Raw genomic sequence first — 24,565 nt, forward strand, 5'->3', positions numbered from 1 at the left:
CAATTTCTTATAAACAGAAGTCACTGAGCACTAGATACTGACCATTCACATTCTTATAGATAGGAGTCCTTTAAATAGGATTTCTGTAAGGCTTTTGTTTAAGAATTGCTTCAGATGTTTTTCAGATCTCAAATTCCAGAAAAATAGCTGAGTCCACCAATTTGAAGACCCCAAAGAGTAATGGAATCAGTCTGAGAATACAGCTTCTTCCTCTCCCTGTCTCATAATGTCACCCTGCACTCTTCAACCAATGGTCTCCACACCTCAGCCCACTCCAAAACCGTTAAAAACCCTAACCTCAGCTGGGCTCAGTGGCTCACACCTGTAATCCCAGCACTTTGGGAGGCTGAGGCGGGTGGATCACCTGAGGTCAGGAGTTCGAGAGCAGCTTGGCCAACATGGTGAAACCCTGTCTCTACTGAAAATATAAAAATTAGCAAGACATGGTGGCGGGCATCTGTAATCCCAGCTATTTGGTAAGTTGAGGCATGAGAATCCCTTGAGCCAGGGAGGCAGAGGTTGCATTGAGCCGAGATCGTGTCACTGCACTCCAGCCTGGACGATAGAGACTCTGTCTTAAACAAACAAACAAACAAAGAAACAGGAAAACCTAACTCCAAACCCCTCTGGGAGACAGATTTTAGGTTCCTCCTGTCTCCTTGTCTGCGTCCCTGAGACAAAACCTCTTTCTTTGCTGCAAGTTGGTGTCTTGGCATATGGACTTGCTGTGCAGTACGTGTTGGGCTTGCAATGAGCCTATTACTGTTACGATAAGATACGGGAGAATAGTGAGATGCAGTGCTGTGCTGTGCAGTGGACACCAGCCGCTGTGAGTTTCACCCTGATGCTGAAGGGAGGGGGCGGGCAGATGAGCTGCCATCATTTTTCTTCTGCTTGGCAGGTATTCACAGGACTTGACTTGGATTTCAACGTCTCTTCTGGTTCTTACTTTTTTGTTCTGTTTTTATCTGGGATTTGTTAGGAGGAAGACAGTGAAGTCTAAACAGCTGACAGAAATAATTTTTAAGGCTCAGTTGCCTGGAACGGAAAACCAAGTATTAAAGAAGGCATTGAGCTGAGTGAGGTCTCTAGGATTAGACAAAACCCTAAATGGTAAAATAGGAGGGAGTGAGGAGGTGATGGTGTTTTCCTGTTTCCTCCTTAATTTACAGGAAAAGGAAGAAGGAATAAACCAGTATGTTCCGCAGTTTCAAAATACAGTCATTTAGCTCTGAAATGCTAAATCTGAAATGAAGCTCAAAGCTGGAAGCTTCCATCATAAGAAGGGTATAAAATTGTCTACCTAAACATTTCAGGAAAATCAAGATTTTTTTTAACGTTGAGATATGGAAAAAAGGTTCCACAGAGTGTATAGGTTGGTATTTGTATTTTAAAAGATTATTTTAAGGTTTTGTGTCTTAAATGAGTTGTGCAAAGTCTAGTAATTAGAGCTTGAAGATATTCATGGTCTTCTTGTCTCTAGCCTTGGCATCAAATAATCTAGCAGCCATATTCCAATCAAAGTGGCTTTTCTCAATCACATATCTGCTTCTGGATATCACTTAATGTGACCCAGCCTCCCACTAGCTCTCGACACCCAAAGTCCTCCTGCCTTCACCCATCTGTCTTGAGCTCCCTTCTGCACATGCCATCAGCCTGCCCAATGCACAGGATGTGGAAACCAGTGAACCTGGCTTTCTCATCCTTCCTGTGCCTCCCAGCTGTGCAAATTGGGTCAAGTTAACTTCTCTCTACTTAGTCTTCTTTGTACAAGATGCAGATAACCATACTGTCTAATAAGATTGATGGGAGAGGAAGTAAAAGCAAAAATATGTAGTCCACCTGCAAAATGCCTGACTAAGAGCAGATGTGCCTTTTCCTGTTCCCACTCCGCACCCATGAACATCCCACCATTACTTGTAAGTAGGCCGAGTAAAGGGAGGTTTAATAGAGGTAGACCTGGTGGAAGTAGGTCTAGTAGAGGTAGTCCTGGTAGAGGTAGGTCTGGTAAAGATAGGCCTGGTAGAGGTAGGTCTAGTAGAGTTAGATCTGGTGGAGATAGGACTAGTAGAGGTGGATCAAGTAGATGTGGATCTAGTAGAGGTGGATCTAGTGGAGGTGGATCTAGGGGAGGTGGATCTCGTGCGGGTGGATCTAGTGGAGGTGGATCTAGCGGAGGTGTATCTAGTGGGAGTGTGCCTCATGGAGGTGGATCTTGTGGAGGTGTATCTAATGGAGGTGGATCTCGTGGGGGTGGATCTTGTGTGGTGAATCTAGTGGGGGTGAATCTAGTGGAGGTAGGCCTAGTAGAGGTAGGTTTTATAGAGATAGGTCTGGTAGAGAAAAGTCTAGTAGAGGTGGATCTAATGGAAGTAGGACTAATAGAGTTAGACCTAGTAGGGGTGAATCTAGAGGAAGCAGATCTATTCATAGTAGAGGTGGCTGTATTTGAGGTACAGCTGTACAGTGAGTTCTCATGAGGGCTCATCTCCTTGTCTCATTCAGGTCTTCATCCATCGGCCTCCTCAGTGGAGAATGAGCCTGCAGTAGACAGTGACTGTGGATATCTCACTGTGGCATTCCCAGGGCCTACCCTAACCCCACCCATTTGGCCCCCACCAAGGGGATGTATTCCCTGGAAACGTCCACGTGTGGATTGCGCTGCCCACCTCCATTCCCTGTGCTCCTGGGAATGGCACTGACATTTGACCTGCAGGGAGCAGAGACATCCCATGTTTTGCCTGTGGAATTTGGGGGCCCTGACCCAGTCCAGCTCCAGGGCTGAACTGGAGTCACCAGTCAGTCAGTTAACAAAGCCACACGGCGGCCACAGGGATTGATCTGCAGATAAGAACGTGTCCTACTTAGTGCCCAGAGAGTCATGAAGGCAGTTTTGGATTCTCTGGAGAGAGAGACCTCCCTCTCATCTGTGGAGATGGGCAGTGGGGAGAGCACAGGAGATCCTACAGAATGGGGCACCTGGACAGGCCAGAAGGACGCTGGAGGGCAGCTGCCACCACAGATGCTGATACACTTGCCCTTGGATGGCTCTTCTGAACCTAGGCCTAGCTCTGGAGTGGTTTATGAAAGCCCCTAAGTCCCTCTTTTTAATTTTAGCTTGCATTGGGTGGTCTGTCACTTGCAGCAGAAAATCCCCGGCTCACAGCTCCCGTGTGAGTAAAGGCACTTGAATGCTGTTTCCTTGGAGGTTGGCCCTGAGATGGTTTCATGCCACTGCCACTAGGGACACTGGGACCATAGCTCGCAGAATCACTGAGAGAAGCAGACACATACCAGTTAGCATGGCAGTGGGTTTGGGAAAACAGATTGAATTTTTATTCACTGTGGCCCGTCCCAGCCTTGCCTTCTCCTTGTCATAATTTTGTCCATTATTTTTAGTATTTTAACATCAAATGCCCAAGTTAGTGAAGATGTTTTACTTCAAAATGTAGACCCCAGAGAACAAAATGAGATACAAAACCTTTTTGGAACATGTGTTTAATGACATACTTTAATGGAACTTTTAGCTGCTGTGGAGAGGTTTTTGGCATGAGTTGTATAGCTTCTTTTAGCAAATTTCCTAAAAATCAGATGCATTTTACACTTGGCTGCATAGTAAACCCTAAAAGGGTTCCTGGAATGGATTGAAGTCTAAGAAGCCCAAAACAAATAAGACATTCATCTGCATGTTCTCAGAGCAACATCCCCAGCTGAACTGGGCTCTGTGGGGACTCAGCATGGCATCTCCCTACAGGCATTTTCCCCTTTAATTTGTCAGGGTTCCCCTAGGGTTAGCTTGCATCATATTCTACCTTGAAGTCCAAAATCAATTTCTATAAGCAGTACCCAGATGGGGAAACTGAGATCAGGTCTCTGTTACCAGATGGATGTCATATTCTCTCTCTCTCTCTCTCTCTCTCTCTCTCACACACACACACACACACACACTTTTAATGAATGAGAAAATGCATTCACATCACATTTTAATAGGATTGTTCTCAGGAATGATGGAGGCCATATTTATGAAAGGATTCCAGCATGGTTCTTGGCACATAGTAAACCCTCAGATATACCTGTATATGTGCGTGCGTGTGTGTGTGTGTGTGTGTGTGTATTTTAAATGCTCATCTTATACCAAGAACAAGTGACAATAAACATTTCAAGACAAGCGGCTGTATTTCAAATACTGACAGACCAGGGAGAATTTTATGTTAGTCACTCAGACCTAGCAGCTAGTAGGAGATTGTGTTCCGGAAGAGCGGTCACGGCTAGAATGGAGTATGTAGGACAGCAATGCCAAGGTACTGTGTTCAGCGAGTGGCAGAAGCAGGGAGGAAACGGGGCTTGTTAGAGTGGATAAGGTCATGGAACTGCTGGGAAAGGGAGCAGGAAGGGTTGCCAGTGAGATTTCAAACACTATCTTCAATCCCTCAAGAATGAGACAGGGGAAGGAATAGAGGAAACATCCCAATTTATGAAAACTTTTTGTTTTTTTTATTGTGACAGAGTCTTGCTGTATCCCCCAGGCTGGTGTGCAGTGGCATGATCTTGGCTCACTGCAACCTCTGCCTCCTGGGTTCAAGCGATTCCCATGCCTCAGCGTCCCGACTAGCTGTAGGCGCCTACCACCAAGCCCGGCTGATTTTTGTATTTTCAGTAGAGACAGGTTTTTACCATGTTGGCCAGACTCGTCTTGAACTCCTGACCTCAGGTGATCCGCCCGCCTCGGCCTCCCAAAGTGCTGGGAATACAGGCATAAGCCACCCCGCCCGGCCTTATTATGAAAACTTTATGAGAATTGAGGATCCCAGCAGAAAGTATTGAGTGTGTCTGGCATAAGTGGGGTTTTGGATTTTGGGTAAAGAGAGGCCTAGTTCCTGCTCTACACTCCATGCTTCTCTCCTAATCTCACAGCCTCAAAACTTCCTCTCCACAATGTCTCCGCCCTGATGGCCTGACGGAACATCAGGCCCTGGTTTCCTGCTACTCAATATTGACTTGGTGGTATCCACTAGCACCTGAAGTGTAAGAACTCCCCACTAAACTCATCCTCTCCTCTTGCTTTTTCAAATCCCTACTAATGGCAGCTTCCTGTATAAACACAATGGCACTTTCAGTTTCTCGTCAACAGCTCAACACCCGTGGCCTTTTGGCTTTGCCATCACTTGTCTCCACATGAAATAATTGCTGAGTCCTGATGGTTTAACAGCCGCTGAGTCCTGATGGTTTAACAGCCGCAGCCTCCATCCCATTTGTGTCTTCATCCGGCTCTCAGAGGCTGTGTCTTCCTTTCTCTTCCTTCCCCAGTCTTACTTATCTATCAATTCTAGAAAATAGTTCAAAAAATAATGCAAATTAATGATGACCCTCAATTACTGAAAGTCTTTGATCGGCTCTCCTTTCTTGATGGTAAAATAACTACTCCTCCGTGTGACATTTCAAAGTACTATACTCCCATTCTGTCCACCTTTCTTTTTTTTTTGAGACAGAGTCTCACTCTGTAGCCCAGGCTGGAGTGGTGCAGTGGCGCAGTCTCAGCTCACCGCAACCTCCACCTCCCAGGTCCAGGTTCAAGCAGTTCTGCCTCGGCCTCCTGAGTAGCTGGGATTACAGGCACGCACCACCATGCCCAGCTAATTTTTGTATTTTTAGTAGAGACAGGGTTTCACCATGTTGGCCAGGCTGGTATTGAACTCCTGACCTCGCGATCCACCTGCCTCGGCCTCCCAAAATCTGTCCAGCTTTCTCTCAAGTCCCCTCTTTTGCTCACCTGGATTATTCATTGTTCTTTCGACAGGCACAGTGGCTTCTCCTTTAGTCACTTGTTCAGCCTCAGGTGCACTTTCCTTTCATCTCTCTTTCCACATGTCTGAATGCCTAACCTCTCTGCAAATAAATCCCAAAGCCTGTCTCTTCCATTAGCCTCTCTGGATACCTCCCTCCTGTCAAGAGAAAAGATTGTTTTCTTCCTTTGAGTGAACAAAACACTGTCTAATTATCTGTGATAGCATTCAACATGAATGAATTATCTACATTATAATGTGGTTATTTCTGTAAAGTCTGCAAGAGCTTAAATTTTTTTTTTTGGTTTGTAACAAAGCAGCTAGCTCAATATATTGCACATAGAAGATGCTCATTTAATGTTATAAAGCAAATAGCCAAGCACATTGTACATAGCAAATGTTCATTCAGATATAATCAAATGCATTTTCAAAATCTGTTCTGTATCAGATGATGTTAAAGTAGTGTGTATCTAATACTATGTAAATATAATTGAGTGCACATTTCACCAAACAAGAAATACGAAAGGCTAATAAGCACATATAGAGATGCTCAACATTAATAGTCATCAGGGAAATAAAAATTAACACCACAATGAGATATCACTACATACCCACTAGAATGATTATTATAAAAAGACAGACAATAGCAAACAAACACTGGTGAGGTGCAGAGAAGCTTAAGCCCTTCGTACATTACTGATGGGAATATAAATTGTACTGCTGTTTTGGAAAACAGTTTGGCAGTACAATGTACATTTCCATCAGTATGTAAATTATTCATAAAATGTTAAACATAAACTTTCTAGAAAACCCACAAGTTCTAAAGCAAGAAATCTACTCACACAAAGACTTACATGCAAATGCTTATAGCAGTTTTCCTCATGATAGCCAAAAAGGGGAAACAATCCAAATATTCATCAACTGGTGATGGGAAAAATGAAACGGACCAGGTCTGTACAATGGGAAGTGATTCAGCAGTGCAGAAATAAACACTGATATGACTACAATACCTACAACGTGGAGGAAACTTGAAAACATTAAGCTAAGTGAAGGTAGCCAGTCACAAAACCACATAGTATACGATTTCCTCTATATGAAATATTCCAGAACAGGCAACTCCAAAGAGACAGAAAATAGATTCCTGGTTGCGTGAGCTTGTGGTGGGAAGGAGAAATGACTACAAATGGGCAATTGGGATTCTTTTGTGATTGTAAAATTGGATTGTGGTAATGGTTTCACAACTTTGTAAATTTACTAAAAAATCATTGAACCGTACAATTAAAATGGGGGAGTTTTATGGTATATAAACGAGACCTCCATAAAGCTGTTAGAGAAAATCACTGGACTTCCAGGACATGCACCTTTATCTACTGGAAGAATAAAGTGAAACGTAGCTTCTTTTAAATAGTTTTCTAGCAGAAACATGCTCAAGTACCACAAAAGGATAAAATATATTATCTGTTTAGTTCTAACTTACTTATTATGTTTTGACAGAATAGTCATTTGGACTAAGACAACAAAATAGTTCTTTATGCAAGCTATTGAAATGGAAATAAATATTTAGAGAAAAATCACACAATCTTTTTAAGTAACAGTTCTGTAGAGATCTTAAATTTTCAACAATTAGGTTAGAAAGGAATGCTTTCACTAAGCCTTTATTGAATCTGATCCACTAGTTTGTTCATATAAATCGTCAGTACATAGCAGTCTTTTACTGATTAATTATTCACCCCAAAGTCTATTAGCAAATATTTACCGCTTATAGCCTAATTAAAATAGAACCCAGGCTACTATTAAATAGAGGTCGTTCTAAAGCTCTTCTCAAGAGAAGTATAGACTTGGTTACCGGAGAATTGTCAAGGAAATCCTTCTCAGAGGGTAGTTATTTCAAAATTGATGAGTAATTTAAGGATATTAGCGGCATTTAACACTCTGAGTTCTAGTGTTTATTTAAATCAAGCATCGGATTCATTTAGGCTGGGTAATGAAGTAATCAGTAATGAGTAAAGAGCATTTTCATAAGAAAACAGTAGCACCATGGGCATAAATGATGGTCTCCCCACCCCTGTGAGCCTGCGTCCTTGACAACATAATAGGCCGGTAGGAGACCCCACCTTTTGAGTTTGCAATGCCAGGTCTCTCGCCCCAGGGACTGTAAGCAGGTGCCTCTGGGATGAGCTCAGGGATTCTCAGAGGAGACCATCAGGCCCACCCTTCCGTCTCTCAAGGAGATTGGAGAAGCGTAATTGTTCTTTCTTCCACTTTACTGTATAAATTTGAATGTAATTCTGTCCCAACTTAGTTATCATCACTTCTGTGCTACCTTCTATGCATGTAAATTTGATGATAAATTGTTCTATAATAAATGGTTTCTCCCCTTCCCGTCCCCCATCTCTCTATTTCTCTCTCTCTCTCTCTCTCTCTCTCTCTCTCTCTCCCTCTCTCTCTCTCTCTCTCTCTCTCCTCTATTAGTGCAGAGCATTCTTTTATTGGCAGGATTGTTTCATTTCTCCAACACTGCATACCAGTGTTAGAGAAAGAATGTTAAAGTTTCAACAAAAGAGACTCTTAATGCTTTTCTGGACAAACATTGAGCTTCCTTTTAATTGTACATTCTCAGTTTCCTTCAAGCAGCCCTTTGGATGGCTACAGGGTTTTCTTCTCTGCCCTGCTGGGGACCAGGAGCTCCCATCTCCCTGTTTCTTCCCTGCTGACCTCAGGGCAATCTTGGAGGGGGCCTCGGGCTGTGCTCAAATATAAAACAAAGCTTGTAAAGTAGATGTGTGAAAAGAGGAATGCAGAGGTTTCCAAACCCGTTACTTTCCTTCTCTTTTGCTGCAATGCAGTTTTATAAAACACGAAGTCTCGTTTGAAACTCTGTCTTATTGTTTACAACAGCCACTCACTGAAAAGGAGCCTTAGAATTATAAATAACCTTCGAAAACAATAACAACAAACAGCAAAAACTTTAATAAGGTCACAGACATGTTACTGTAGACCAAGTGCACTGTTGAGAGCGGACTGTTACTATGTTAGGTGCGGGACAGAAAGATTTCTAGAGAGCTTTGTGGAAGAGGTTTCCAGTAATTTAGCAACCAAGACAGTTTGTCGTTCAAGATATGACGAACTTTCTTCTTTTTGCTTATTAAAGTTGAACATTAAAAAACAAAAAACTGAAGATCTGTTAGTGAGTGTATTTGGTACATTAATTTTCTATGGTTGCTATGACAAATTATCTTAAAGGTACTGACTGAAAACAGCAAAGATCTACACTCTCAAAGTTCTGGAGGTCAGAAGCAGGACATCGATCTCACTGGGCTAAAGTCAAGGTGTCGGCAGAACATGGTTCCTTCTGGGGGCTCCAGGGGGAGCCCATTTCCTTTTATTTTTTAGCATCTAGAGATTGCCCACATTCCTGGGCTCATGGCCCCTTCCTACTTCTTCAGTGCCAGCACCAGTGGACTGAGCTCTCAGGTCACGTGCCTCTGGCTTCATCTTCTGTCTTCTTCATCTACTTTTTGTTTGTTTGTTTGTTTGAGATGGAGTCTGGCTCTGTCGCCCAGGCTGGAGTGCAGTGGCGCGATCTCGGCTCACTGCAAACTCTGCCTCCCAGGTTCACGCCATTCTCCTGCCTCAGCCTCCCGAGTAGCTGAGACTAAGGCGCCTGCCACCATGCCCGAGCTAATTTTTTTGTTATTTTTAGTAGAGACGGGGTTTCACCATGTTAGCCAGGATGGTCTCGATCTCCTGACCTCGTGATCCACCCGCCTCGGCCTCCCAAAGTGCTGGGATTACAGGCGTCCTTCATCTAGTTTTAAGGGTTCTGGTGATGACATTGGGCCCACCCAGATAAAAATCAATCCAGATTAATCTAGGATAACCTCCCATCTCAAAGTGCTGAATCACATTGGCAAAGTCCCTTTGGCCATGTGATGTCACATATTCACAGGCTCTGGGAGTTAGGACGTGGACATCTTGGAGGGGCCTTTCTTCTGCTGACCACAGAGAGGAAGTGAGAACACGCTCATTCCTATGCCTCGCTGTGGAGACTATAAAATGCAAAATCTCCCTAGGGAGGGATATAGAAGCAACAGCAGCAACACAAGCATATCAGTATGTAGGACATTTAATCCAGCAAGGGTTTTCTGGAAATTTGTCCAAGGATATAAGTATTTATAAACTCAAAGCTTTTCATATCATTGTATTTGGCACTATGAAGAAATGGGAAAAATTCAAATGTCTAACAATGGTAGATTGGTTAAATAAATCATAGTATATTTATTTGTATCAGTTATTTATTGCTGTGTAAATAATTGCCCCAAGGTACAGCAACTTAGAAAATTGACATTTCTTCTTCATACAGTTTTTGAGGGTGAGAAATCCAGGAGAAGTTTATCTATGTGGCTTGGGCTCAGGTTCTTCTATGAGGTTGCCATCAGGACACAGCCTGGGCTGCAGTCATCTGAAGGTTTGACTGGGGCAGGTGGATTCCCTAGTGAGGGAGTGCACTGAAGTATGTAACTGACAAGCTGGTGATGGTGGCTGCCACATGGCCAGGTGGACTTCTCCATAGGGCTGTGTGCATGGGCTCATGCCTTCCCTTAGAGTGATCTGAGAGAGAGAGATCAAGGAGAGAGCCTTTTAAGGCCTTATACAGCCCAGTCTTGAAAGTCACACATCTTGACTTCCAACAGACTCTATTCCTTGGAAATGATTCACTTAATCCAGCCCACACCCAAGGCAAGGAGTAGAATCAGGCTCCTCTTAAAAGGGAGATATTTCAAACAATTTGAAGAAATATTTTAAAAGCACAGCACCATATAATCAAAAACATTGCATTCATTTAAGTCATGTTGCAAAAATGCATCAAAAAAGTTATTCATAATATAATGTAGTTACAAACATACATTGCAAAACAGTATGTATGGTGAAATAAACCTATCTATCTCTATATATTTAGCATATAGTAGCCAAGAGCTTGGAGCTCTGTTGTTAGCATATTTTATGTACAAGCCCCTCCACGAGGAAATAACTTAGGAATTATGTACTCCAAAATATTAACAGTGATTTTATTTGCATTGGCACTTTAGCACTTTGTATGTTCTGATTTTCCTACAATGAGTGTGCACGAGTGACAGTGTGACATTGCAGTAAAGAACACAGGTTCTGGAGTTAGATCTGGATTTGAAGCCCAGTTATACCATTTACATGCTCTGTGGCCTTGGAAAAGTTAACCATCCTCTCTGTGCCTGAGTTTTCTCATCTGTAAAATAAGGGTGATAGTAATAAAATCTTTGGGAACTGCTAAAGCCTGACATCTGCCTCCACACATTTCAATTCAATTGGTCTAGGTGGCAACCTTTGCTTTCGGAAGCTCCTGGGAGATTTGAACCTGCTGTTGAGTTTGTGAACCACTGAGATGGAGTTTCCACCCCTCCCCCATTGCTGGATTTCTTCACATAGGTCACGTTTTCACGTCTGTGCCAAATACACTAAATATGAGTTAGATGACTTTGGGTGGTCCCTTCTTGCTAAATTTACAGAGAGGAAAAAAAGTACTGAGAACAAAAGTTAAATACAAATTTGCTATTGCAAAATGTAACCTTTTATGTCTAATGTTATTAATGTACTCTAGTAAGACTTTAGCTGTTAGAAAAGAGCTCAACAAGGCTGGGCGTGGTGGCTCACGCCTGTAATCCCAGCACTTTGGGAGGTGGAGGTGGGCGGATCACGAGGCCAGGAGATCGAGACCATTCTGGCTAACATGGTGAAACCCCGTCTCTACTAAAAATACAAAAAATAAATAAATAAATAAAAGAAAAGTGCTCAACATTTGAACATTGTATCTTTTTTGCCTAGCTTCTTAGAACAGATAAATGCAATGTCAGATACATACAATGCTATTGTAAAGTGGTGTGCTGTATGCTAATTTTAGACATACACGTGTGTGTATATGTTTGCGTGTGTATGTATGTATATTATATATATAAAAATATATAGTGGAATATGTGTGTGTGTGTGTGTATATATATATATATATATATAAAGAGAATTTGTTGCTGTTGTCCTGACATTGAAATAAGTTGCAAATAAGATTATTTTCAAATGGATAAGCACAAAATCCAACACTGAGACTGACTTTGGGCATTCCTAATTATTTTGAGTTCTACTGAGCTACATTTTCTTAACTTAGGTTTTGCAGAAAATTATCTGGCTGAATGAAATGTTGGGTAAATTGGCCATGGAATAAATGAAGCTGAGTACTGGGCTTGGCTTGGATACTACAGAATGCCCCTTTCTTGTGACAAGTCACATGGATGCTAGACAATCCGTATTGGTATTGAGCGAAATGTAATTGAAAACCTCAGCACCACATCATAAGATCATGGAATTGCACCACTTTAGAGCTGGCAAATCCCTTAGAGATGATCTAGTCTAACCACCTAATTTTATGGATGAAGAATCCAGTAAAATACAGTTTGAGTTTGTCAGAAAATACATTTAACTGAGTAGAGCTTCCAGGAATCCTTCTCCCAGCTCAGCCCCATCATGGGGAGATAAAAACCAAGCAAACACTCATTTCTAAGTCTTGTATGTTGCACAGGACGTGTGTCTGAAACCCTTCTCTACTTATTTTTCTCCCAGCAGGTGAACCTGAGATGCTTCCAGGGGCAGGAGATGTTGGTGGCCTGTGGCCTGAGCAGGATGTGTCTTCCCTGAATGACAGGCCTATGATCCCATTAACATAGAAGCAGAAAATAAAAAATTAAGACACTTTACAAAGTAAAAGTGAAGTCAGAATTTTAAGAATATGTTAGAGTTTTCCTTTCTTGTCCTTTTGTTCTTCATTTTTTCTTTCTTCTGAGATAAGGTGTCACTGTGTCCCCCAGGCTTGAGTGCAGTGTCATGATCTTCGCTCACTGTAGCCCCCGCCTCCCAGGTTCAAGTGATCTGGCCGCTCAACCACCTGTGTAGCTGGGATTAGAGGAGTGTGCTGCGATGACTGGTTATAATTACAATTATTATTATTATTATTTTGTATTTTTAGTAGAGATGGGGTTTCACCATGTTGCCTAGGCTATTCTTGAACTCCTGAGCTCAAGCAGTCCACCTGCCTTGGCCTCTCAAAGACAGGCATGAGCCACCGTGACTGGCCTGTTGTACTTAAAAAAAAATTATTAAAAAATATGGTTTTAGGTTCACAGAAAAATTGAGTGGAAGATACAGAGGCTTCCCCTATACCCCCTGTCCCCACACAGGCCCAGTCTCAGCCTCCCCAGCTATCAATTCCCCCACCAGAGAGTGCCTTTCTTCCGATCAATGAGCACACGTGGACACATCAGCACCTCCCGGAGTCCACAGCCTACATGAGGCTCACTCTTGGTGTCGTACATTCTATTAGCTTGGGCAGTTGTATAATGACATGGATCCACCATTACAGTAGCCTAAAGAGAAGTCTCATGGCCCTAAAAACCCTGTGTTCTCTACTTATTCATCTATCCTTCCTTCAGCCCCCGGAAACCACTGACCTTTTACCATCTCTACAGTTTTGCCTTTTCCAGAATGTCCTAGAGTTAGAATCATACAGAAGTCACCTGTATCTGATTGGCTTTTCCTTAGGAATGTGCGTTTAAGGATCCCCCATGCCTTTTCAAGGCTTCACAGCTCATTTCCTTTCATCATATTCCATTGCCTGGATGTTCCACTGTTTATTTATTCACTCAGCCACTGCAGGACGTCTTGGTTTTCTCCATGTTTTCGTGATTATGAATAAGGCTGTTGTAAACATCCCTGTGCAGGTCTTTGTGTGGACATGAGTTTTTAATTCATTGGAGAAATACCAGTAAGTGCAGTAGCTGGATCATAGCTCGAGAGTATGTTTAGTTTTATGAGAAACCGCCCCACTGGCTTCCACACTGGCTGCACTATTTTGTATTCCCACCAGCAACAGATGAGAGTTCCTGTTGCTCCACCTCCCCGGCAGCATTTGCCGTTGTCAGCGTTCTGGAATTTGGCTGTAGCAATAGGTGCATAGCAGTCCTGTCTTGTACTTTTTGGTAGTATCTGACAGCTTGGAATTTTATAATCAATTAGTATTCTCTTTCTATTCTGGATTCTTTTTCTGAGACTTGGAAACAAGCAATTCGTGATTGTTCTCTGAGAGGTAAGATTTGGAAATCAACCCCTCACTGATGAGTCACCTCAAAGACACAGAGCGGATCCTAAAAACTGTGGCCCATAATCATGGCCTAAGAATGGCATAAAATAGGAAGTTTGGTGGGTCCATGTCGGTGGTATTTAAGGAAAGGAATACCTTAAATACCGTCGGGAAGCCGGCCATCACCTCTAGGGCAGAGGGCATGGTTCTGGTGGAAGGTGTGTTTCCATGATCCTCCTGGCCTCCGGTTTCCCCCAGCTGAGCCTAGTTACTGTTTAGCCAAGAATTTCCATTTCTCACACAAATTGTCCACTAAACAACTGTTGAATAGCGTCCATCTCCATGCTCCAGGATAATAGGACCTCATGTCTGGTTCCAAAGAGGAAATTTATGGCAGTAAGACAAGGATCCACCTTGTGAACCCAAAAGTATCTGTAACAGGTCCAACCCTGTGAACCCAAAAGTATCTGAGACAGGTCCCAGTCAATACAGAAAGATTATTTTGCCAAGGTTAAGGACATGCTGGTGACACAGCCTCAGGGGTTCCTGATGACGTATGCCCAAGATGGTTGGGGCACTGTTTGGTTTTATAGGTTTTAGGGAGACATGAGACATCAATCAATATGTGTAAGATGTACATTGGTTTGGCTCAGAAAAGTGGGACAACTCGAAGTAGGGTCTTTCAGGTCATAGATAGATAAGAGACAAAAGGTTGCATTCTTTTGGGTCTTTGATCAGCCTTTCAGTGAACACGCACTTTACGCGTGAGAGTGGTGTAGAGGAATAGTCACTGATACCTTATTCTGGCTCAGTGAATCTGCATTTTTAGATAAACAGTAGGTCAGAGGAAGCCGTCAGATGTGCATTTGTCTCAGGTGAGCAGAGGGATGACTTTGAGGTCTGCTTGTCCTTTGTCCCACACCTGTGAAGATAAGCTAGCAACTTACATTGCCAGGTTGAAATTCAACAGAACTGTTTTAGGGTAAAGATCTTGAGGCCCAAAAGGAATTTCCTTGTGGGTAAATTGTGAGGGAGGTGGGTAGCTTTTTTAAAAAAAAAATTGTAGCAATTTCATTTAGGAATAAAATGGGAGACAGGTTTGCTTTGTGCAGTTCCCAGCTTGACTTTTCCCTTTGGCTTAGTGATTTGGGGTTCCTGAGATTTACTTATTTTTTGCAGCCCCAATGAGTCTGTTGATGTGAGTCTGCCCTTTCTGACCAGTCGGGTACTGGATCCCACATGGTGGAAGAATAGCCCCAAGCGTGGATTCATCAAGTCAGTGATGTGCAATGGGATTTTGGGGGACCAGCTTCCTATCTCCACCCCATATGCACCTATTTCCATTTTAACTTCTACAGTTTCTAGGTAGCATTGGAAGGCAGGGATACCTCTTTATGTGAAGAAAGTATAGGTTGATTTAATGAACATTTTGAGACTTCTGAGAGGACATGTTGGAAGACAGAGCATAAACATTTTACATTTATTGATGCTTTTGATTTTTCAAAGCATTCATGTACACATTTTTGCATTTGCTCTTCATGACTATCCTGGAAGGTTGACTAGGAAGGTATTATTATTTCTGTTCCACAGCTCAGAAAAGTGAGGCTTGCAGAGGTCAGAAAGTGGAGCTAGATTTAGAGCCCAAGGGTCTTCAACCCTAACCCAGTGCTCTTCCTACAATATATTTTTAAAATTATTTAAAAATTTGCTAAAAGAGAACATAAAAATGACCTCAGAAGAGTCTGTAATATGGCTCCCTGAATTGCACCAATGGATTCAAATTGGGGGAATGAAGGGTGAAGATAATAGGAGCCCTTAAATCTTTGAGATTTTTAGCAACAAAAATCTGCCACAGACTTGCTAATGCAATGTTAGGATGTTGGCACTGCGGGTTCCCACGGAGAAGCTCGTTCATTCTAGAGGAAGACCTTTTTAGGGGATGGGTGAGCTGAGCAGAGGGCTAGGAGCCTCCGGGTTCCACACAGACCAAGAAGCATGGGGTGGTTTCAGAGGCTTTGTCATTATTTACAGATGACATCTGCTCTCTGAAAATCCTGATGCAGCCCAGGTTGCTTCTGGGTCTTCTCACTTCTCTCTCCTTTAAGGAGAGCAAGTTCTAGCCCTCCTGGGCTGTTAAGGAGAGGAGAGGACATGGCCACTTGGCTACAAAGGATGGGAGAAATGAAGAACCCGGGGTGGCAGCTCTCCAGGAGGTGAAGTGAACGCACTTTAACCTCAGACTTCCCCACCACCCTATTTACCAGGGTAAGTGGAAGTGGTAATTATTTTTAAGTAGCCAAAATATATTAGGCTACTTTTGTTCTATCAATAAATAAACATAAAGCTCCTCCTCAAACTCAGGATGTTCTCTGTGCATAAAATGCAACATACCAATTTTAAACCTGCACTGGTAGCATTGTTCATAATGGCCATTCCCATACATGCCATGAGAGGGATGATCTGTAGTTTATTCGAGGTATTCCATTAATTGGTGGCTGTCAACAGGAACCCAGCTGGTGAACTGCTAATGCACTATGAGACGAGGCTTTGAACATTTCATAAACATTGTAAATAGCCTCTGTATAACTGATCATTGTTCATAATGGATTATTAAAATTGAAAAAAAATGGACTCCAATGAAGTAGGCTAATAGAGTGCATTTGATGGAAAATGTTTGCTTGTAGATTTGTGTTTTGGACTACATAATTGGCAATTTCAGGCAGGAACTGCGGTGGAACCCGTAATGTGCTGAGCATTCTGCAGCTCAAATGTTAACATCTGGGGTAAAATATCTTTGGGGTGCACTGCTGAGAAAAGCTGTGGTCTCTGGGTCAAATGATGTTTCTGCGTGAAAGGGAGCATCAAGTTCCCATCCTCTACTCTAGCAGTTGGAGAAAGGGCGTTACTTAACATGTATTAAATGAGTCACTCATCAACATTTGAAGTTTCTTTGTGTGCAGATGCTTCAGTTAATCCATTTCTTAAACCACTGACTGTATTTCTCCTTTGAGTTTGATAGGATGCCTTTCATTAATGCTTAAACTAAATCAGCAGATGGATGCAAAGAAAGAGGAGGGAAATCAATGCAGGACGACCCCTTCCCCTGTCTGCAGAGATCCTGGGCTAATGGGCCTCTAGATGTGGGCATTTTGGGCTTTTAGGGGAGTAAAAATTGCTTCCTCTTACCCTTCTAGGTCCTGTGGCTAGTTTAAGAATTTGATTGATACAAGATAGGTTAACAAGGGGAAACAATTTTAATGATGTACATATGCATGGAAATCCCACAAAAATAGGAGACTGAAAGAAGCAGCCACATGAGTGGGATTTATCTATGACCCTGAGCCACAGATGTGCATGGGGGTTGGGGGCTTCCAGGGGAGTGGGAGGGGCAAATTATGGTTGGGCGAGAGGGGGTTTCCGGTGAAGAAAGGTTGCCTGGTGACGCAGATTAAGAGTTTCTCAGGTGCTTAAAGTTGTCTGAGAGCGGTTCTCTTCCTGGTATATATACCTTAACTACTGTGAATTTCCTTTATAAATGTAAATTTTCTTTACAAAAGGGGAAGTTTCTTCTTCATTTCAGACAGCTGAAAGGGAGATAAAGAACTTTTTCTGTGTCAGCTGGTTCTCAATTTCTTCTAACTCAAAATAATCAACATGCCAACATGGTGTATTTTAAGGTGCATGTTCTGAACTCCAGGATGCATTAGCCCTGCGTGGACAACTCTTCAGGAAGAGTACACACCACTGAGGCAGCAGGATTTGTTGTATTTAAAACACAGATGAACCGGGCGCGGTGGCTCACACCTGTAATCCCAGCACTTTGGGAGGCTGAAGTGGGTGGATCACCTGAGGTCAGGAGTTCAAGACCAGCCTGGCTAACATGGTGAAACCCCATCTCTACTAAAAATACAAAAACTTAGCTGGGCGTGGTGGCATGTGCCTGTAATCCCAGCTACTTGGGAAGCTGAGGCAGGAGAATTGCTTGAACCTGGGAGGTGGAAGTTGCAGTGAACTGAGATGGCTCCACTGCACTCCAGCCTGGGCAACAGAGCAAGACTCTGTCTCAAAAAAAAAAAAAAAAAAAAAAAAAAAAAAAAAAAACCAACGACCACAAAACAAAAAACAAACAAACAAAAAAAAAGATGCATGATAAACTGGGAAGAAAAGTAAGGAAAACAGAAAATGAAGTCTTTTTATTCCATGAAAGCCTCGTAGTAGGGGACCAGAAGTTACAATACTGAGGACATTTAGAACTCTAGGTAATTTTCATCATTACCAATTAATATACATGAAGCAACTCCTGAAGCATTTTCTGGGTTCTGAGATCCAGGAAGATAGAAAGTTATACAATATCTACCCACAATCACAGAATTATATTTTCGTCAATAATGTAAAGTGTCAGCTCCTCAAATCTTTGGCTGGAGCTGTTAAGTAGAGCACATTTGACTGGTTTAATGCCATTTTTCTTCTCAGGGATGACCTCATTATATCTACCTGGAGTTGAAGGATGCAAAAGAAAAGTCTTCTTCAATCATTCAAAATTATTTTCCCATTTACTTGCTTCTGCACCTTTACTAAAAGTCCACCTTGAGACATATATTTCCTTTTCACTGCTGTGGGACTGTACTGTTAAAAAATTATTCTTCTGGAAAATATGCATTCTAAGACAACAATAATTATTTCATTTATTCTTCTTCTTCATACGAATAGAAGCAACAGTTACAAATTATTGTGTACCAATCAGCAGGGCTAAGAATTGTGTATTATCCCATGAAAGCTTTCAAACAATATTGAAATAAAGATATGTCTATAATCTTCATTTTACTGGTGAAGAAACTGAAACTTAGAGAAAGGCTCTATAAGTTGGTTTCCTAGGAAGTGGTAGAGCCAACCCACTGGGCTTTTGTAATTTTTAATTTTTATTTTTTTTACTTTCCTAATTTATTTCTTTTTAAAAATGGCTTGATTGGGGTACGATTGGCATGCAATCATAAAATTAAACCTGTCCAAGTTTAGTGTCTGCACTCGATGAGTTTGAGGATAAGTATCCACCAGTGAAACCAGCACCATCATCAGGGTGGTAAACACATCCCTCACCTCCAAGGGTTTTCTTCCACCCCGTTATTATTATTGTTAAGTTGTTGTTGTTTGTTGTTTTATGAAGCGTTCACATAAGATCCACTGTCTTAGCAATTTTAAGTACACAATACAGTCTTGTTAGCTATGGGTGCTATGCTGTAGAGTAGAGCTCATACCGCATCCACCTGGCATAACTGAAACTTTGTTCCCTTTGACCATCAATGCCCTGTTCCTCCCTTCTCCCAGCCCCTGGTAATCACCACTCTCCTTTCTGCTTCTATGAATTTAACTATTTTAGGTTCCATATATAAATGAAGTCATGTGGTATTTTTCTGTGCTTGGATTATTTCACTTAGCATAATGTCCTCCAGGTTCATCCATGTTGTTGCAAATGACAACATTTCCTTCTTTTTAAAGGCTGAATAATATTCCCTTGTACAAATATGCCCCATTTTCTTTATCCATTCATCCACCAATGAGCATTGAGGCTGTTTCCACGTCGTGGCTGTAGTGAATAACTTTGCAACAAACACAGGGTTCAGAGATCTCTTAGAGATACTAATTTTATTTCCTTTGGATATATACCCCAAAGTGCAATTGCTGGACAATTTGATGTTTCTATGCTTACTTTTTTTTGAGAAACCTCCGACTGTTTTCTACAATGGCTGTACCAGTATTTCCACTAGCAATGTACACAGGTTTCTTTTTCTCTACATCTTCAGTAACTAACACTTCTTATCTTTTTTTTTTTCTGAATAATAGCCATTCTCACAGGTGTGAGGTGATATCTCGTTGTGCTTTTGATTTACTGATAATTAGTGATGTTGAGCACTTTTTCATGAACCTGTTTATCTTTTGTGTGTCTTCCTTGGAGAAATGCCTATTCAGGTCTTTTATCCCTTTTATAATCAGGTTATTTGATTTTTTTTTTTTGCTATTTGTATAAATTATTTGTATATTTTGGATGCTAATCCCTTATCAGATATATGACTTGCACACTTTTTTTTCATTCTCTAGGTTGCCTTTCTATTTTGTAGATTGTTTCTTCTACTGTGCAGAGCTTTATAGTTAGGTATATTTTGCTTGTTTATTTTGACATTTGTTGTCTGTGCTTTTGGTGTCATATCCAGAAAAACACTGCCAAGACCAATCAATGACAACAAACTTTTCCCCGATGTTTTCTTCTGGGAGTCTTACACTTTCAGGTCTTATGATTAAATCTTAAGTCCATTTAGAGTTGATTTTTCTATATGGTACAAGGATCCAATTTCACTCTTCCATATGTGGATATTCAGTTCTCCCTGCACCATTTATTGAAGAGTCTATCATTTCCTCATTGTGTATTCTTGGCACCCTATCAAAAATTAATTGACTGTATATATGTATACATTTATTTCTGGGCTCTCTATTCTATTTCATTGGTTTGTGGGTCTGTTTTTTTTATGCCAGTACCATCCTGTCTTCATTATCATAGCACGTAATGAAATTTGAAATCAAGAGGTAGAGTGCCTCTATCTTTGTTCTTTTTGCTCAACATTGCTTTGGCTATTAGAATTCTTTGTGATTGCTTATGAATTTTAGGATTCCTTTTTCTATTTCTTTGAAAAAAAAGCCTCTGAAATTTTGATAGGAATTGTGTTGAATCTGTAGATCCTTTTGAGTGGTGTGGACATTAAACAATATTAATTTTTCTAATCCATGAACATGAAATACTTTTCCATTTATTTTTATCTAATTTTTCTCATCATAGTTGTTTAGCTTTCAGTATATAGAGCTTTTACCACCTCAGTTAAGTTTATACCTAAGTATTTTATTCTTTATGATGCTATTACAACAGGATTGTTTTCTTAATTTCTATTTTGGGTGGTTCATTTTTAATGTAGAGAATGCTACTGGTTTTTGTATGTTGATTTTCTATCTTGCAACTTTGCTAACTTCATTCAACAGTTCTAACAGATTTTTGGTGGAGTCTTCTGGGTTTTCTGTATATAAGATCATGCTATCTGCACACAAAGACAATTTTACTTCTTCCTCTCTAATGTGAATGCCTTTTACTTTTTTTTCTCACCTAATTGCTCTGTCTAGGACTCCAGCACTATGTTGAATAGAAGTGGAGAACGTGGGAATCCCTGTCTTGCTCCTGATCTTAGAGAAAAAGCTTTCAGCTTTTTACCTTCGAGTATGATGCTATCTGTGGGCTTGCCATGTATGGCTTGTTTGATGTTGAGGTATGTTCCTTCAATACCTAATGTGTTGACAGTTTTCATCATGAGACGATGTTGAATGTTACCAAATGCCTTTTCTGAATCTATTGAAATGATTGTGTAATTTTTATCCTTCATTCTCTTCATGTGGTATATTGCATTTATTGATTCATCTATGATGAACTATCCTTGCCTCTCAGGGATAATTCCCAAATTTACCCAGCTGGGCTTCTTAAACATTCTGTCTCTATACTTCTATTCACCTACACTTCTTCTTCTTTTCCTTTCTTCTCTCCCCTCTTTCTTCCTTTTCTCCCTCCCTCCCTTCCTTTCTTCCTTTTATTCAACTTACATTTACTAACCTTCTATCAAAAGCTAGGCTTTATCAAAAATTCAAAGTTAATCCCAAACTTAGGATGAATTACTTTAACTTCCGTCCTAGTATGCCATCTAATATTAGCAACACAGGCTAAAAAGATGACAGGACTACAGGAATGGAGAAGGGAGAGAGCAGTGCCACGTGAAGTCACCTTGGGAAGAACGGGCCCACCTAGAGTGTGAACTCAGAGCAGAGGCCTAGAATGAGGGTGCTTTGAGCACTTGATTCCTAGAAACATAAATATGTCATGAGATGAAGTGTGCAGAATCACAGTACTTTCCAAACCTCACCGAGGATAAGTCCCGCTTCTCTTTTCTCCCCTCTTCAAGTTATGTTTTCCTTCAGTTTATCCTTGTTTCTCTCTTTCCTCATTTGAGATGGACAAAACTCAATGAATCATCTTTTTCTAAGTATGTTAGTAGAATATAGTTTCAAAAACAGAATTAAAATAACACCGTTTAACACAGGCTAGAATAGGGACTAGACATGGACGTTCTCAGGTTCTTCGTGGTGTGCCACTAGCCATTATGTGGCCCCATGTAAGTCATTAAGATTCAGGTAGTTCAAGGTTGATTGTGCTTAATTTATTCAATTGCGAAGACCACATAGTGGTGTGGCTAATTATTGTTTAGAAGGTGCTGAAGCTTCTCAGATGAAAGCCACCATGGAGGAGCAAGAGGTCATTACAGTAATCACTGCTGCAAAGTGAATTCATTTCCATAGAAGGTCACTTATGAGTTGAGTCACATTGTAGAGAAAGAGCTTAATCTTACAAGGTTGAATGGAGGGCATGGTCACATACCCTAACTACCCATGATCGGCAGGAATGAAGAGTGGTGGGCAGGTTGCAGCAGGATCTCAGAACTTCTCTTCCTCCCTGCACCTCCCTGTAAAGCTCCACTGGGCCTGAAGAACCTGTCCATCTATCTTGATAAAGCCTTCAGCTTGAAGGCACCTGCAGTCTGGCCAAGGGTGCCACACAGCATTGTGTAGGACACCCTTTGAATACTTGTGGGTCATTGCTAAGCCGATTCCTCCTCCCTCCTCCTCTTTCCTCTAAATACCATGTTCTGGTTCTGCCTGTTTCTAGGTGGTCATTTCTAGGTCAGAACTATCCTATGCCCAAACAGAAGAGGGCTTGTCTGGGTTCTCAGCAAAGATGCCAGCACTTACAGAGCTTTACTAGGCAAAGCGTGATAGATGATAGATTCTGTGTTTCACCCACACTGCTTTGTTTTCACTGCTGTTTTGCAATGGGTTGTAAACATAACAGAGTCACTGCCAGTGCTAATGATCTGTGATTTTCTAGCAAGGAGGTCAATTGCACCGGGCACCTACCCACACTGCCTACTACCCTTAAAGCAGCAGATCCCATTTATTTTGGGAATGTGAACATCTTACAAACTCACACATTCCACATTGTTCTTCCCTGCCTCCCATGCCTTCATATAAATACAGCATCCCAAGGGAAAGAAAAACTGCCTTTTCATGAATCAGAGAGGATGCTTAACGTATTTGACTTAAAAAAAGTACTTTTAAAGACGTCAAATCCCAAAGTAAGCAGCTTTTACTTCAAAAATAAGCCCACTTCGATGGGAGATCAAAGGGATGGAACTTTCCAAGTTGCAGTTGAATTTAACATTCCAAGAGTCAGGAGGGCAGATTAAAATAGGATTTTGCTTGCAATAACATTTGCGGTCTGTTCAGCATTGTTGAGTGCTTAATCTAGCCAGGAAGTCTGATTTACAGGGAGCTACAGCAGGCCTTCAGCCCCCGGAATTCATCCCAAAAGCAACATGACTTTCGTTTTGAGGAAAGGCTTTGACACAGGGACTACTGCTTTCTCCCAGTAGGGGTTACCAGCCTATTTCAAATCAGGGCCTTTCTTTTCTATAGCAGCAATTGTAAGACAATGAAAACATCCTGTTTCAGAAAAGAATTTGCAAAGAAGTACAACAGGATATTCTCAAACCTGGTGCAAAGTGAATCATCTTATCAAACACAAACTACCTGAGCTATATATTGGTACTGTTTAATTGACAACTCTAAGGTAGGTCTTTGTTTTATTATTATTGTTACATTACTATCATTATTATTATTAATTTGCCATCTTCCTCTCCAAAAAGAACTGTGAATTCTTAAGAATACAGGAAAAGAAGGGACCTCAGGGCTATTATCCCCAAGGCCTTCTGTGGGGCAGGACGATTGAGGCTGGAAGGGGCTGATTTCATCCTCTTCTGAAAGCACTGCAAAAGTGAATTCTAGGGCTTCCTTCCAGAGAAGCCTTCAGAATGACTCAGGAGTCTTTTCATCTCTTCACCGAATTTCTCTTTCCTCACTGTAATTCAATTTAATTTTAGAAAATTAGAGTATAGAGTACTGGCTGCAAACACAAAAACATACAAATGCTACTTCAAAGAGCTTTTACTCTAGGAAGGAGGGCACGCATCTTCTAGTAAGCTCTGATGTTTTTCTCTGACCTCAGTGAAAATACAACGCTTTTTATTTCCAGTCATAGGTTTGGAATGTACTATCACACAGGGACATGCCGCTCAGCCTTTTCTAACCCCCATCGTAACATGCTAAAGAGAAACTGATGAAATCGTTTGCTCAAGGACATGTCTTTTAGCAGATGGGGCCAGAGTTAAACCTTGGTAATGGCTGATTCTAAAATCTAAGATATGATTTCTCATGTGCAAATTCTAAAATCAGGAAAAGTCTGAAAACAAAGTCATATTTGTAGAACTGACACCAAAATACATATGGCAGCAAAAAGTGAGCAGATTTATACAATATTGATGACAAGCTTTCTAAGTCCTTTATTCTGAATATGTATACAATTAGTACAGAAGTATTAACGTATTTTACAAATAGATGACTGCTCTAGCCCTGCTTAGGGTCCTGTGGAAAAATATGGTGAATATACCATATTTTGAAGATTGAAAAAGAAAAGAAGAACTCT

The 24,565-nt window shown here is 41.3% G+C and overlaps 3 long non-coding RNA genes across 3 annotated transcripts in view, besides 1 other annotated feature; 2 read left to right on the forward strand and 1 right to left on the reverse strand.

Moving 5' to 3' along the window:
- Window positions 1-24,565, forward strand: part of LOC105376360 (uncharacterized) — a 432,070-nt gene that overhangs the window by 110,342 nt on the left and 297,163 nt on the right. The gene's annotated exons all lie outside the window — the stretch shown is intronic.
- The window catches only part of LINC02669 (long intergenic non-protein coding RNA 2669), a 69,327-nt gene continuing 49,237 nt past the window's right edge, over window positions 4,476-24,565 (reverse strand). The window contains exons 4-5 of the long non-coding RNA NR_155743.1: window positions 5,771-5,942; window positions 4,476-5,326 (exon numbers count right to left, since the gene is read on the reverse strand). This is a non-coding gene — a long non-coding RNA (long intergenic non-protein coding RNA 2669). The remainder of the gene's footprint in view (window positions 5,327-5,770; window positions 5,943-24,565) is intronic.
- The window catches only part of LOC124902538 (uncharacterized), a 51,559-nt gene continuing 47,591 nt past the window's right edge, over window positions 20,598-24,565 (forward strand). The window contains exon 1 of the long non-coding RNA XR_007062362.1: window positions 20,598-23,653. This is a non-coding gene — a long non-coding RNA (uncharacterized LOC124902538). The remainder of the gene's footprint in view (window positions 23,654-24,565) is intronic.
- Window positions 23,226-23,863: an enhancer, noted in NCBI's record as "OCT4-NANOG hESC enhancer chr10:3494454-3495091 (GRCh37/hg19 assembly coordinates)". NCBI's record gives its function as "activates a minimal SCP1, AML or CMV promoter by ChIP-STARR-seq in naive H9 embryonic stem cells {active_cell/tissue: H9 hESC(naive)}" and the evidence as "EXISTENCE:reporter gene assay evidence [ECO:0000049][PMID:30033119]".

The sequence above is a fragment of the Homo sapiens genome, chromosome 10 (assembly GCF_000001405.40).
Source record: "Homo sapiens chromosome 10, GRCh38.p14 Primary Assembly".
Taxonomy (NCBI): domain Eukaryota; kingdom Metazoa; phylum Chordata; class Mammalia; order Primates; family Hominidae; genus Homo; species Homo sapiens.